The following is a 13,321-nucleotide window of genomic DNA, read 5'->3' as shown; positions in this document are numbered from 1 at the left end:
TTTATCCTTCAAGAAATGGTTGAACCTTTGCTAAATCTCAAAGTCAAATGCTGGCGTTTTTCTGTTCTAAGATATAATAGGCATTCAATATTAATTGATGGTTCAAATTCTTAAAACACATATTATAAAGTAGGCCATTTATTCCTCATAAGAATCAATATATATCACCACTACATTTTAACGTTTAGTGAAATTAACCCAAAGGACTGGAGACTATAGAATTACATGTGTCAATACCAAAACGACAGAATTGATCTCTCTCCTGTATATCTTTACACACTTTTGCACTTAATTGTTTACATGTTTCTGCTTCACCTTACCTAACTGTAACTTCTTGAGGACAGGATAACACAGGCACAGGGCTTAATACTATGCCTGGCACATAGGAGGCATTCAACAAATGGGCAAAGAATAAATTAACAGCTTCCATAGAACCAGAAAAACCTCATCTTATCCTCTGTGTATTCCCCTAAGTAATGCTCAGTTGGACAGATACTTACTTTTTACAGATGCCTAAAATTCAGCTATTTTTTGTTTGTTTTTTGTTTTAGAGACAGGGTCTCTCACTCTTGTTGCCTGGGCTGGAGTGCAGTGACACGATCATGGTTCACTGCAGCCTCAACCTCCCAGGCTCAGATGATCTTCCCACCTCGGTCTCCTGGGTAACTGGGACTATAGGGGCATGCCACTACGCCCAGCTAAGTTTGTGTGTTTTTAGTAGAGACAGGGTTTCACCATGTTGCCCAGGCTGCTCTCGAACTCCTGGGCTCAAGCGATCTACCAGTCTCAGCTTCCCAAAGTGCTGGGATTATAGGTGTAAGCCACCATGCCCAACCTAAAATTCAGTTTTAAAATCCAACTGTCATTTTTAAAAATATCAGAAATCTAGTAATGACATAGCCATGTTGATTTATTAAACTGTGATTCAAATTTCAATCAAAACAGCTGCTAACTATTCAGAGTCTACATAGGTGGTCAGATTCTAGCCAAACTGAATTGAGACTATTCTAACAGGGAGCTCCTAACAGCCTTGGAACCCTAGACAAGGTGTCTGTAAGTCACAATAATTCTGACTTCAAACCAGAACCAGATCATCTGTAATCCTGTACTCCATTCACTATAGTTTCCTGTAGCATTTCCAAGTTGTTACATATTTTTCAGTGATATATAAAGTTTCAGACTGCGTTTATAAAAAGACCACATAAACAATCTCAGGTATTATGAACAGCATTTGCCACTATGATTACTAAATCTGGAAATGAATTCTGGAGTGACCAAGAAAAAACAACCAGTCAATCCCAATTTTTTATAGCCACATAGTATCAAAGCAAAAAAAAAAATTTCCTATTATTTACAGAGATAAATAATTTCCACTAGAAATTCATTGGGGCTAACAGACAATATAAAATCTGACATGTTTTTATTAACCCAAGTTGTCAAACAGGCTTCAGTCTTGGGCTTAGAACAGCTCAGGAAAATGTGACTGTTACTTAACCAAAGAACCTGCAGGGCAGAGACTCAAGTTTTAGTCCTTTCTTCATGAGGCTGGAGTTTAACAAGTATAACTAAAATACTAAGAAGTCTATGTTTCTCTCTTATCAATCCTTTGAGTTTATTTAGAACTACAGCAACTAAAAGCAAACTAACTAAACTGGAAATTCAAATTTTCATCACCAAAATGGAAACTAGTATTTAAGAGAGAGACTGTGTGTGAATGTATCTGTGTATACATATCCTCAATGAGCTCTATACAAAGCAAATTGAACAGCCAGGTGTCAAGAAGAATTCAATATTAGCTCTAACAGTGTATCAAGGTCATCTACTTTCCCCTCACAAAAAAGATGGAGAGAATTGTATGGGGGAAAGTGAAGAAAGCTAGGGCAGTGGTTCTTAAACTAGCTTGCCTAATATACTGCAGCCACCAGGGAAGTTAATTCCTCTTGCATGTTCCTTTTACATGTGTCTTCACGTAAAACTGACAGGAGGACAACTGATGTGGGGACAAATGAGAAGATCCTGAGGTCCTGGCCCTTTTTTCTTTGGGGCTCTAGACCCAGCCTATATAGTTTCCTTCCTCCCCATCATTGGTCTCCATATACTCACACACTTATAAACTTTTTGAAAATGTCTTGAAATGTGAAAACAGGTTCATATCTATTTTCATGTTAGATAATGAGATGTAGTCAACACATGTGGGCACTCTAACTGGTGTAGCAGTCAACAAAGTAGGAAGTGGATGGTCTACATACCCTTAAGTATTTCACACTCTCCTTTGGGACTAACAGCTGCCCCCACAGGACAAGAAAAAAGACTTGTAAGAAAGACTATCACAATACAGGCTCATAAATCAATTCGAAGATTTATTCAAAATCTATAATACAAGATAAATGTTTGAATCCTGGGGTAGACAAGAATTCTGTGTCTCATCTATAAAAAAATTCAATAAACATTTCTTCAATTATATATTTAAATACCAGGCCTTACTGGGTTCCTTTTATGTCCACTCTCACAGCAGACCTTCCCTCAGAAGAGCACGCACTTCTGAAGGAAAGCATGAGAAGGAAACAGTAAGCCCAGCAAATGAACAAACCCTTCTCATACTGTATGAGGGACAGCATGAACTAGAACAAGGCAATTCATTCAAAGCCAGGGTGTAGAGATGGGTCACAAAACAATATCTGGCGAATTTGACATAGCGTACAGTTAACCTCCTACAAAAAGGACTTGACCTTGCTATAGGGCAAGGCAAACATTAAGGCTCCCTCTTCACATGGGGCACTTCACAGAAGCAACGGAACGTTTTGCAAACGATCCTCTCACTGAAGTTTACCCTTTTATTATTATTTAGGGCAATACCAAATATTTTGCAAAACTTGTGACAACAGTATCACAACACCTGTCTGGGCAGGAGAAGTAAAGAACGTTTAAAATGTTATTTCTTAGTCTAGTCCAGTAGTCATTTGCTAAACTACCAAAAAGGATATGGAATATAATTCAACTCAAATGCTACGTGCGGAAGACATTAAAAGCTTTCCTTAGATTACATCTTCACAGTAGAAATTGTAAATACTGACAAAAAGGAAGTGATTTCAGAGAAATTCTTTTGTGTAGCAAATGTTTCTTTCAAAAGTTACATAATTTCAGGGATACCGCAAGAAAAAAATAATGGATTAAACCCCTGCAACGGGATTTTTCAAAAAGTAGGATGTGAATTCTAACTGGCAGCATCCGACCAACTCCTGACCCCCAGCAATCTGCGTGCAGCACGCATTTGTCAACCGCGCGCTTGATCACAGCTCCAGTTTAATCGCCTCCTAGCCGAGCCCCGCACGCCCTCCCCCCTGCGCTGGGGCGCGCACAGGGCTGGAGAGCAAGCCCCGGGAACTCTCACAGGCCGGCCTGTGTGAGCAAAGGGAAGGAAATGACACAGGCAGGAAAAAAAAGCAAATCAAGGAAAAGACACAACAGCAGCTGGGCCTGCGGCAGCCTCCAGCCCGGGCCCCACACTGCGCTCTTGCTCCCCCGCCCTCGGGCTCGCGGTCCGGCTCGTTCGGACCAGGCTGCCCCGCGGAGCACGGGCCCTCGGTCCCGCCGCCGCTTCCCCGGGATGCGCCCGCCGCGCCGCCCAGAAGGAGGGCTGCCGAGCGGGCTCTGCCGGCCGGGCCGCCCCGCGGAGCCAGAACCCCCGCCCGGGCCGCGGCGCGCGAGCGGGGCGGGCGGCCGGCCGGCCGGCGGTCCGCAGCCCCGGGCCGGGCGGGCTGTCCATGCCTGTCAGGCGGTGGCCCAGGGTCCTCCTCCCTCAGCCTGGGGCGGGGCGTCGCGAAGCAGCGCGGGCACAGGCCGGGGCGGTGGCGACACTTACCCATGGTGGCGATGGCGGCGGCGGTGGCTAAGGTCCGTGAGTGTCACCTCCGCAGCCGGGGCTGCATGCCGGGGGCCCGGGCGGCGGGGACGGCAGCGGGCCTGGCTCCGCGCGGGGGGCGCGGGCTGCGCTCTGGGCCCCCGCCGCCTCCCCAGGCTCCGGCTCCGGCTCCGCCCGCGGCCGGGCGCTGTGGCATCGGCAGGGTGGCCCGCTACATCCCGGGCGCTCCTGGGCTCGGCCCAGCCCGGCCTCGGCGGCGCCGCTCGGCCCGCCCGCCCGCCAGTCCCTCAGACCCGCAGTCTCTCCGTCCGGCCACCGTTCTCCACCTCAGGAACGCTCCGAAAAACAAACCGCTGGTCGCGCAGCTCGCCCCCCTGTCTGTCACTCACGCCGGCCCCCACCAATCCCAGGCAGCCGCTGGGCCGTCGCACCACCCCCACCCACCTCACCAGCCAATAACAAGAAGGAAGTCGGCAGCCCCCGCCGTCCCCCTCCAACTCTCTCCCAACACCCTAACTCTCAGCGGCCAGCTAATCATCAGCACCACACGATGAACCAATCCCGCCTACTCTCACAGGATGCCAATGGGCGAAGCCAAGGCGGTTTCCGAGGGCTGTCTAGCGCCTGCCAATCATCGGGACAGCGCCCGGCTCCCTGCGCTGTTAGCCAATCACGTAGAGGCCTCTAAGCCCCCGCCTCTGCGCATCCCTCTCTGGTGCTGTCTCCCTCTCTTGGGAGAGATTGGGAGGTGTTGGTTGTTCCAATCACAGCTCCGGCGTGAGGCTCCGCCCACATTCCCACCTCCCGTCAGTCACCGAAGGCTCGGCGGGCGCGCGGGCTGGCGCAGTTCCCCGCCGGCTACTTTAGGGCTGGGGTGAGGAGTAGGCGGCTGCAGGGGGCCCTCAGGCCTTCCGCCCTCCGGGTTCTCGGAGGCCCCAGCGATCTGGGTGGTTCCAGAGGGTGGCGTCCTGCTCCTCCCCGTGCCCAGCACAGGGCGTGTAACGAGTGGGGAGGGTCTGGCCTGAGCACTTCCCGGCGCGCGGCCACCTCTGCGGCCCCATCCCCCGACTGGTCCTCCGGTCCCGACGCTGCTCTTGCCCCGGGCAGGGGCGGCCGGCCCAGCCCAGCTTTCCCTGTCTCACACCTCCAGGGCCACACCCTCTGGTCTAGGTACCTCAGACACCCGAGGCTGGGATAGTGCTGGCATGTGGGTCCCTGGAAATCTGAGTTCCGCCAGAGGTTCTTTCAGAAAATAACTTTTTTCTTATAAAAGCAACACGAGCTTTTTGTAGGAAAATTGAAAAATGCAGAAAACTATGAAAAAGAAAAGATCCCACCCCAGAGATAATCTATTTCCTACCTAGATAGGCGTTTGACAAAAATGGCTTTGTATTGTTTTGTAGTATGCTTACATTTTATTCTGTTTTCCCGTGCCACCAAATATCCTTCCAAAACAATTGTACTGATTGCATGATGTTTCAAAATTAAAGGCACCATAATTAATTTCCCCAACCTTTTCATTGTTCAACATTTTATACACTCAGATCTTCAGATTCCAAGTCCACCACAATTAATGTGGGCTCCTTTCTCCGGCCTCTGTTCCAGTGTAATATGTCAGGCTCCAGAATAATCTTCCTCAGATGTCATTGTCCACTGTCCACTAAGAACATTTAGTGGTGGCTTTGCCTTGAGTGTCAAATCCCTTAAGAATTACCTTGGGCTCTCCCCTATTTCTTTTCTTTTTCTTTTTTATTTTTCGAGATGGAGTCTCACACTGTCGTCCAGGCTGGAGTGCAGTGGCGCGATCTCGGCTCACTGCAACCTCCGTCTCCCGTGTTCAAGCAATTCTCCTGCTTCAGCCTCTCAAGTAGCTGGGATTAACAGGCGTGCGCCACCACGCCCGGCTAATTTTTGAATTTTTAGTAGAGACGGGGTTTCGCCATGTTGTCCAGGCTGGTCTCGAACTCCAGACCTCAGGTGATCCGCCAGCCTCGGCCTCCCAAAGTGCTGGGATTACAGGCGTGAGCCACTGCAAGCAGCCTCCCTTATTTCTTTACACTCATCTCCGTATATTTAATCAGCCCCCTTGTCCTGTTTTCTTTTTCTTCCAACAAGCTTAAGCCTGCCATATTCCCACTTGATTTGGTCTCTACCCAGTTTACTGGAGTTCCTTAACTATAATAATCTCTATTCTTGAAAGCGGGGATAAAGGGGAAAGAAAATTAGTATTTATCAATATAACAGGCACGTCATTGCATTTAATTTTTCCAATAACTCTAAGGTTATTATGCTAATACTGTGGGCATTTAAATGATGAAAGTGAAGCTTAGAGAGGTTAAGCACTGTGTCCAAGTAGTGGAGCCAGGATTCATACCAAGCCTGTGTGACTCCCAAAGGCCATGTTCTTGCACTAGGCCAGTGTTTCTCAACCTTTTTTTCATTATCCACCCCTGCCAGGAAAAAATTTTAATTTAAATTACTTAATTAAATTTAAATTCTCCCTAAGAAGAGAAATTAAATACTAAGGAATAAGATTTTGTCAGGTAGAGTAGAGCCTTTGTAAAAAAAATTTTCTGTAGAGTTGGGGGTGTCCCACCATTTTGCCCAAACTGGTCTCAAACTCCTGGGCTCAAGCAATCCTCCCACCTCAACTTCCCAAATTGCTGGAATTACAGGTGTGAGCTGCCATGCTCCTTTCTGTTTTCCCAATTGCTAAAGCACAGATGCTGCTCGACTTACCATGGGGCCATGTCCAGATAAACCATCAGATGAACAATCGTTAAGTAGAAAATGCATTTAATACACCTGACCTACTGAACATCATAGCTTAGCCAAGCCTATCTTAAGCGTGCTCGAACACTTAAGTTAGCCTACAGTTGGACAAAATTATCTAACACAAAGCCTATTTTATAAGAAAGTTTTGAATAGCTCATGTAATTTACCAAATACTGTACTGAAAATGAAAAACAGAATGGTTGTACTCAAAGCACAGTTTCTACTGAATTGTGTGTTGCTTTTGAACCATCATAACGCCAAAAATCATAAGCTGAGGCCGGGGCACAGTGGCTCACACCTGTAATCCCAGCACTTTGGGAGGCTGAGGCGGGTGGATCACTTGAGGTCAGGAGTTCGAGACCAGCCTGACCAACATGGTAAAACCCTATCTCTACTAAAAATAAAAAATTAGCTGGGCGTGGTAGCGCACACCTGTAATCCCAGCTACTTGGGAGGCTGAGGCAGGACAATTGCTTGAATCCGGGAGACAGAGGTTGCAGTGAGCCAAGATCATGCCATTGCACTCCAGCCTGGGCAACAAAAGCAAAACTCCATCTCAAAAAAAAAAAAAAAAAAAAAAGGTATAAGCCGAACCATAGTAAGTCAGAGACCCTCTGTACAAACCTAGGAGTGTTCCTTGATTATTCTCTCTCCCTGACACCCATATATCCAAACATGCAGCAAATCTTTTCAGCTCCCACTTCAAAATGTATCTGAATCAGGTCGGACGCAGTGGCTCACACCTGTAATCCCAGCGCTTTGGGAGGCCAGGGCAGGTGGATCACCTGAGGTCAGGAGTTCGAAACCAGCTTGGCCAATATGGTGAAACCCCATCTCTATTAAAAATATAAAAATTAGCCAGGTGTGGTGGCCTGTAATCCTAGCTACTTGGAGGCTGAGGCAGGAGAATCGCTTGAACCTAGAAGGCGGAGGTTGCAGTGAGCCGAGATTGTGCCACTGCACTCCAGCCTGAGCAATAGAGTGAAACCCTGTCTCCAAAAAAAATACAATAAAAATACACACACACACACACACACACACACACACACACACACACCTGAATCCAACCACTTCTCATCCCACCCCCCTTATCCAAGCCACCACCTACTCTCCTGAATGACTGCCCCAGACTCCTATCTGGCCTCCATTGTTTCCTCTGTGGCAGCCCAACAAATGATTCCCCAATAGCAACCAGAGTGATCCCTGTAAAATGTAATTCAGATCACGCCACCCTACCCCCTGCCCACTGTCAGCCCTCCAATGGCTTCCCTCCCATCACACTCAGAATAAAACCCCAATTCTTTGTCATGACCTGCCAAGCCCAATAGGAGCTGGCCCCTCCATCCTGTCCCTCCATCACTGTCCTCTAGCTACTCTGGCCTTCTTTCCATTCTTTGAAACTACCAAGCCAAGATGTTCTCATTTCTGCAGTTTATTCAAGTCTCTGCTCAAACGTCTGCTTTTAAGTCATTTCTTATCACCCCATCCAAAATGACCCCTCCCTTCCATCATTCTGTATTTGTATATTTTTTCCTTGTTTTTTTTTCTCAGTGGCTAAAATTATATATTTATTTGTTTGCTCTACTCCAACTACCACAAACATAAGGTATGCAGGAGCAGGAATTTTGTCCTGCTTACTGCTCTATCACCAGCACTTAGAATAGTGCCTCACACATGGAGAACCGCAGTACATCTACCTGAGTCTTTAGCTGAAAACAACCTTCTGATTTACCTTCTACCTTTCTTACAACTGCCTTCTTTGTGGCTTCATTTGCACTGTCGGTGTCTCAACCAGCCATCTCAAACATTCCCATACTGCAGTTACCATATGCGCTGAGGATTCCAGAATCTCAACTGTGTCTCTAGCTCAGGGATGTCTTTCTTCTGAACTCCACAGACATGGGTGTCCCACAGGAACCTCCAATTTTGGGTCCAAACTGAAACCATTTTCCCCCATAGTTCTGTATTTTCTCTGTCCCTCTCCAGTTTCCCAAGTTGGATACCTTCGAATGATCAGATAGCTCTTTCTCTCCATTTCTTTCCCCCACAGCCAGTCTTGAACAAGTCTCCAATCTGTCCATCCCTCTCCCATCCCATTTTACCACCCTAGCTCAAACCACCAAAATCTCTTACCTGCATGACTTAAGCGTAACAGCCTCTCAACATATATTCACATCACAGATTGATCTTTCTGAAATGGACACCTGATTCTGCCATACCCTCCCTAAAAAGTTTCCCATCACCCTTAGGATAAGTCATATATGTGAATGTAGTTAAGAAGGTCCTTCAGGACCCAACCCATACCTTCTTCTTCAGCCACACGTCCTTCTATTTCCACCTTAACTATAATAGTTAACCCCATTATTCAAATTCTATGCCCCAGCCACATAGAACCACCAGCAATTCCTCAAATGTGAATTTCTCTTGCTTCTATACCTCTGCGTGTGCTATGTTCTCTGCATGAAATCCTCTTCGCTTCTGCTTCCACCTCCATTCTTTTTTTTTTTTTTTTTTTTTTTTTTTGAGACGGAGTCTTGCTCTCTCGCCCAGGCTGGAGTGCAGTGACGCAAGCTCCGCCTGCCGGGTTCATGCCATTCTCCTGCCTCAGCCTCCCGAGTAGCTGGGACTACAGGTGCCCGCCACCACGCCTGGCTAATTTTTTGTATTTTTTTTTTAGTAGAGACGGGGTTTCACCGCGTTAGCCAGGATGGTCTCGATCTCCTGACCTCGTGATCTGCCGCCTCGGCCTCCCAAAGTGCTGGGATTACAGGCATGAGCCACCACGCCCAGCCCCCACCTCCATTCTTTCAGGGAAGAGCTAAGCCTATACAGCATTCTCCAGGAAGCCTTCTCAGACAGACAACTCCAAGTCCGGGTTAAGGCCCTCAGACATGCTGTCAGAGCACTGGGTACTTTCTTCATCAAAGCATGTGTCCTGCTAATAATTGTCTTTAACCAAGTATGTATAAAAAGGCCAGGTGTGGTGGCTCATATGTCTATAATCCTAACATTTTAGGAGGCTAATGAGGGAGGATTGCTTGACGCCAGGAGTTTGAGACCAGTCTGGGAAACATAGTTAGACCTCGTCTCTACAAAAAAAATTTAAAATTATCCAGGTATGGTGGCGTGTGCCTGTAGTCCTAGCTACTCAAGAAGCTGAGGTTGGAGAACTGCTTGAGCTCAGGAGGTAAGGCTACAGTGAGCTATGATCCTATCACTGCACTCCAGCCTAGATGACAGGGCCAGACCCTCAAACAAAACAAAACAAAGCAAAACAAAGCAAAACAAAACAACCAAATTAAGCATAAAGACAGAAGCTGCTTTCAAATCAGCATGCCTCTCATCTTTCATAGCACATTAAAAAACAAATATTTGTCAAATGAGTAAGTGAACCTCAAATGGAGATGTTAGTAACTGAATGTAATTTCCATAATGTTCCCTTTTAGGTATATGCAGTATTTTATCTTCTTTTTTTTTTTTTTTTTGAGACGGAGTCTCGCTCTGTCACCCAGGCTGGAGTGCAGTGGCGTGATCTCGGCTCACTGCAAGCTCTGCCTCCCGGGTTCACACCATTCTCCTGCCTCAGCCTCCCAAGTAGCTGGGACTACAGGCGCCTGCCACCATGCTTGGCTAACTTTTTGTATTTTTAGTAGAGACGGGATTTCACCGTGTTAGCAAGGATGGTCTCAATCTCCTGACCTCATGATCCGCTCACCTTGGCCGCCCAAAGTGCTGGGATTACAGGCATGAGCCACTGTACCCAGCCGAAAATTCTTTTTTGAGACAAGGTCTTGCTGTCCTCCAGACTGGAGTACAGTGGCACAGTCATAGCTTACCACAAGCTCAACCTCCCAGGTTCAAGGGATCCTCCTGTCTCAGTCTCCTCAGTAGCTGATACTACAGGCTCATGGCACCACACCTGACTTTTTATTTTCATTTTATTTTTGAAGACAGAGTCTTACTCCATCACCCAGGCTGGAGTGAAGTGGTGTAATCATAGCTCACTGAAGCCTTGACCTCCTGGGCTCAATCTTTCCACCCCAGCCTCTCAAGTAGCTGGGACTACAGGTGCACACCACCATGCCCTGCTAACTTTTGTATGTTTTGTAGAGACAGGGTTTTGCCATGTTGCCCAGGCTGGTCTTGAACTCTTTCGGCTCAAGCTATCTGCCCGCCTCAGCCTCTTGAAGTGCTGGGATTACAAGTGTGAGCCACCATGCCCGGCCCTAGCATCTTTTTTAAAACAGACAATCCAAATGCCCATTGATAGGAGACTGGTTAAATTATGACACGTTAATACCAAAAAAGTTATGTAGCTATTAAAAAGAATGAAGAGACTTCTCCATACTAATACTAAAAGGTAACCAGGATGTATTGTGAAGTGAAAAAAAAAAGGTTAAAGCAAAGTATATAGCATGATCACTTTTCAGTTTTAAAAAATGCTCATTCAGGCCAGGTGTGGTGGCTTATGCCTGTAATCTCAACACTTTGGGAGGCTGAGGCAGAATTGCTTCAGGCCATGAGTTCAAAACTACGTATCAAGACCCTGATATGCCTGTCCAACATACTGAGACTCCATGTCTATTTAAAAAAAAAAAAAAAAGAAGCTGGCCAGGCAAGGTGGCTCACACCTATAATCCCAGCATTTTGGGAGGTCAAGCTGGGAGGATCACTTGAGCCCAGGAGTTCAAGACTGGCCTGGGCAACATGGCAAGATCCCATATCAATTAAAAAAAAATTTTTTTTTTTTTGAGACAGAGTCTTGCTCTGTGGCCCAGGCTGGAGTGCAGTGGTGCAATCTCACTGCAACCTCTGCCTCCTGGGTTCAAGCAATTCTCCTGCCTCAGCCTCCCGAGTAGCTGGGATTACAGGCAAGCACCACCCAGCCCAGCTAATTTTTGTATTTTAGTAGATGTTGTGTTTCACCATGTTTTCCCTAGGGTGGTCTTGAACTCCTGAGCTCAGGCAATCCACCTGCCTCGGCCTCCCAAAGTGCTAGGATTGCAGGCATTAGCCACCATGCCTGGCCAAAAAAATTTTTTAATGAAAAAAAAAATGCTCATTCACACTTAGAAAAAGGCCAACATTTATTGAACACTTAACTATTGCCAGGTGCTGTTTCAAGTGCTTAACATATATTAACTTAATTCTCAAAACAGCCGCATGTAATCGGTACTATCATTACCCCCATTTTACAGGTAAAGAAGCATGTACAAAGAGGTTAAGTTCTTGTCCAAGGTTGCTAGCTGTTGGCAGAGCTAGAATTTGGTCCCTAGCAGACTGGCTCCAAAGAGTGAAAAAATATAAATCGTTAATGGTGGTTGTATCTTAGGAGGTAGAATTAAATGGGAATTTTGTTGTTGTTGTTGTTGTTATTTATTTATGTAAGATTTGCCTTTTTAAAGACAATAAATGTTACCTTTTGGGCATACACAAAAAATAAAAAGAACAAAGAAGTAAAAATGCTATCCTGTTCACTGGCTGGACATAGAATAATTTCAGTTAAGAGTAGTGTGGCACCAGGCTGATGGCTCATACCTGTAATCCCAGCACTTCAGGAGGCCAAGATGGGAGGATCACTTGAGCCCAGGAGTTCAAGACCAGCCCTGTCAACATAGCAATACCCCATCTCTTCAAAACATAAAATAACCGGGCATGGTGGCATGCAAGGAGGCTGAAGCAGAAGGATTGCTTGAGCCTGAGAGGTTGAGGCTGCAGTGAGCGATGGTTGTGCCACTGCACTCCAGCTTGGCTGACAAAGACCCTGTTACACACACACACACACAAAAAAAAGAAAAGAAAAGAAAGAAAGAAAGGAAAGGAAAAGGAAAAGAAAAAGAGTATTGTGGATCTATCATCGCATTCCCTTTTGCCAGACTTATTTTCTGTGAAGAGAATGTCTCCAGAAGTGTCTTTGGGGATTCAAATAAGTCTGGGAATTGGGGGCTCTTCGAGTTTGAAAATTTATTGACTGCTATAAGTTTCAGAGAAAAAAAAGTAACTCAACCACATGGCTGAATTTCCACAGTTGGTTGGAGGCACAGCCTTTGCTGTTCCTCTTGGATTCAGCCAGGGCCTCTAGCAGAGGGGAGGTGGCTACGCACAAGAGTGCTTCTTATAACAGTCAAGACTGTGAACAGAGCCTATCACAGATACTTCTGTCCCACTAAAAGGACACTTGAAGGTAAGCCCAAGGTGGCTTCAAGACCTTGAATAATTTTATGTTGCTAAGACAATAACCAAAGATAAGGCAAAGCAAGCCAAGCCAGCACTGGACCTCATTCCTCTGACTTTAACATGCATCTGACTCCCAGACTCTCAGATGCTGTGAGACTAGCTTTTGGTTTTTTTTTAATTATGTCACCTGATAAAAGTAAAACATGGGGGCTGGGCACAGTGGCTCACACCTATAATCCCAGCACTTTGGGAGGCTGAGGCAAGAGGATCCCTAGGAGCCAGGAATTCAAAACCAGCCTTACACAGGAAGACCCCATCTCTCTCTCTCTCTTTTTTTTCTTTTTTCGGTGAGACGGAGTCTTGCTCTGTCGCCCAGGCTGGAGTGCAGTGGTGCGATCTTGGCTCACTGCAACTTCCGCCTCCTGGGTTCAAATGACTCTCCTGCCTCAGCTTCCCAAGTAGCTGGGATTACAGGCGCCCGCCACCACGCCCAGCCAATTTTTATAT

The 13,321-nt window shown here is 46.5% G+C and overlaps 1 protein-coding gene across 9 annotated transcripts in view, besides 4 other annotated features; it reads right to left on the bottom strand.

Moving 5' to 3' along the window:
- The window catches only part of MAP3K3 (mitogen-activated protein kinase kinase kinase 3), a 73,889-nt gene extending 69,680 nt beyond the window's left edge, over window positions 1-4,209 (bottom strand). For all 9 annotated transcript variants that reach the window (NM_203351.3, XM_005257378.3, NM_001363768.2 and 6 more), the window contains exon 1: window positions 3,863-4,209. In NM_203351.3, the coding sequence (NP_976226.1) occupies window positions 3,863-3,866 (4 nt within the window). In that variant the 5' untranslated portion in view covers window positions 3,867-4,209. The remainder of the gene's footprint in view (window positions 1-3,862) is intronic.
- Window positions 3,459-3,508: a silencer, noted in NCBI's record as "silent region_8824". NCBI's record gives its function as "represses an Ori minimal core promoter by ATAC-STARR-seq in GM12878 lymphoblastoid cells {active_cell/tissue: GM12878}" and the evidence as "EXISTENCE:reporter gene assay evidence [ECO:0000049][PMID:35858748]".
- Window positions 3,749-3,808: a silencer, noted in NCBI's record as "silent region_8823". NCBI's record gives its function as "represses an Ori minimal core promoter by ATAC-STARR-seq in GM12878 lymphoblastoid cells {active_cell/tissue: GM12878}" and the evidence as "EXISTENCE:reporter gene assay evidence [ECO:0000049][PMID:35858748]".
- Window positions 3,899-4,288: a silencer, noted in NCBI's record as "silent region_8822". NCBI's record gives its function as "represses an Ori minimal core promoter by ATAC-STARR-seq in GM12878 lymphoblastoid cells {active_cell/tissue: GM12878}" and the evidence as "EXISTENCE:reporter gene assay evidence [ECO:0000049][PMID:35858748]".
- Window positions 4,899-4,968: a silencer, noted in NCBI's record as "silent region_8821". NCBI's record gives its function as "represses an Ori minimal core promoter by ATAC-STARR-seq in GM12878 lymphoblastoid cells {active_cell/tissue: GM12878}" and the evidence as "EXISTENCE:reporter gene assay evidence [ECO:0000049][PMID:35858748]".

This window comes from Homo sapiens, chromosome 17 (assembly GCF_000001405.40).
Source record: "Homo sapiens chromosome 17, GRCh38.p14 Primary Assembly".
NCBI classification, from domain to species: domain Eukaryota; kingdom Metazoa; phylum Chordata; class Mammalia; order Primates; family Hominidae; genus Homo; species Homo sapiens.
This window is presented reverse-complemented; position numbering and strand designations above follow the sequence as displayed.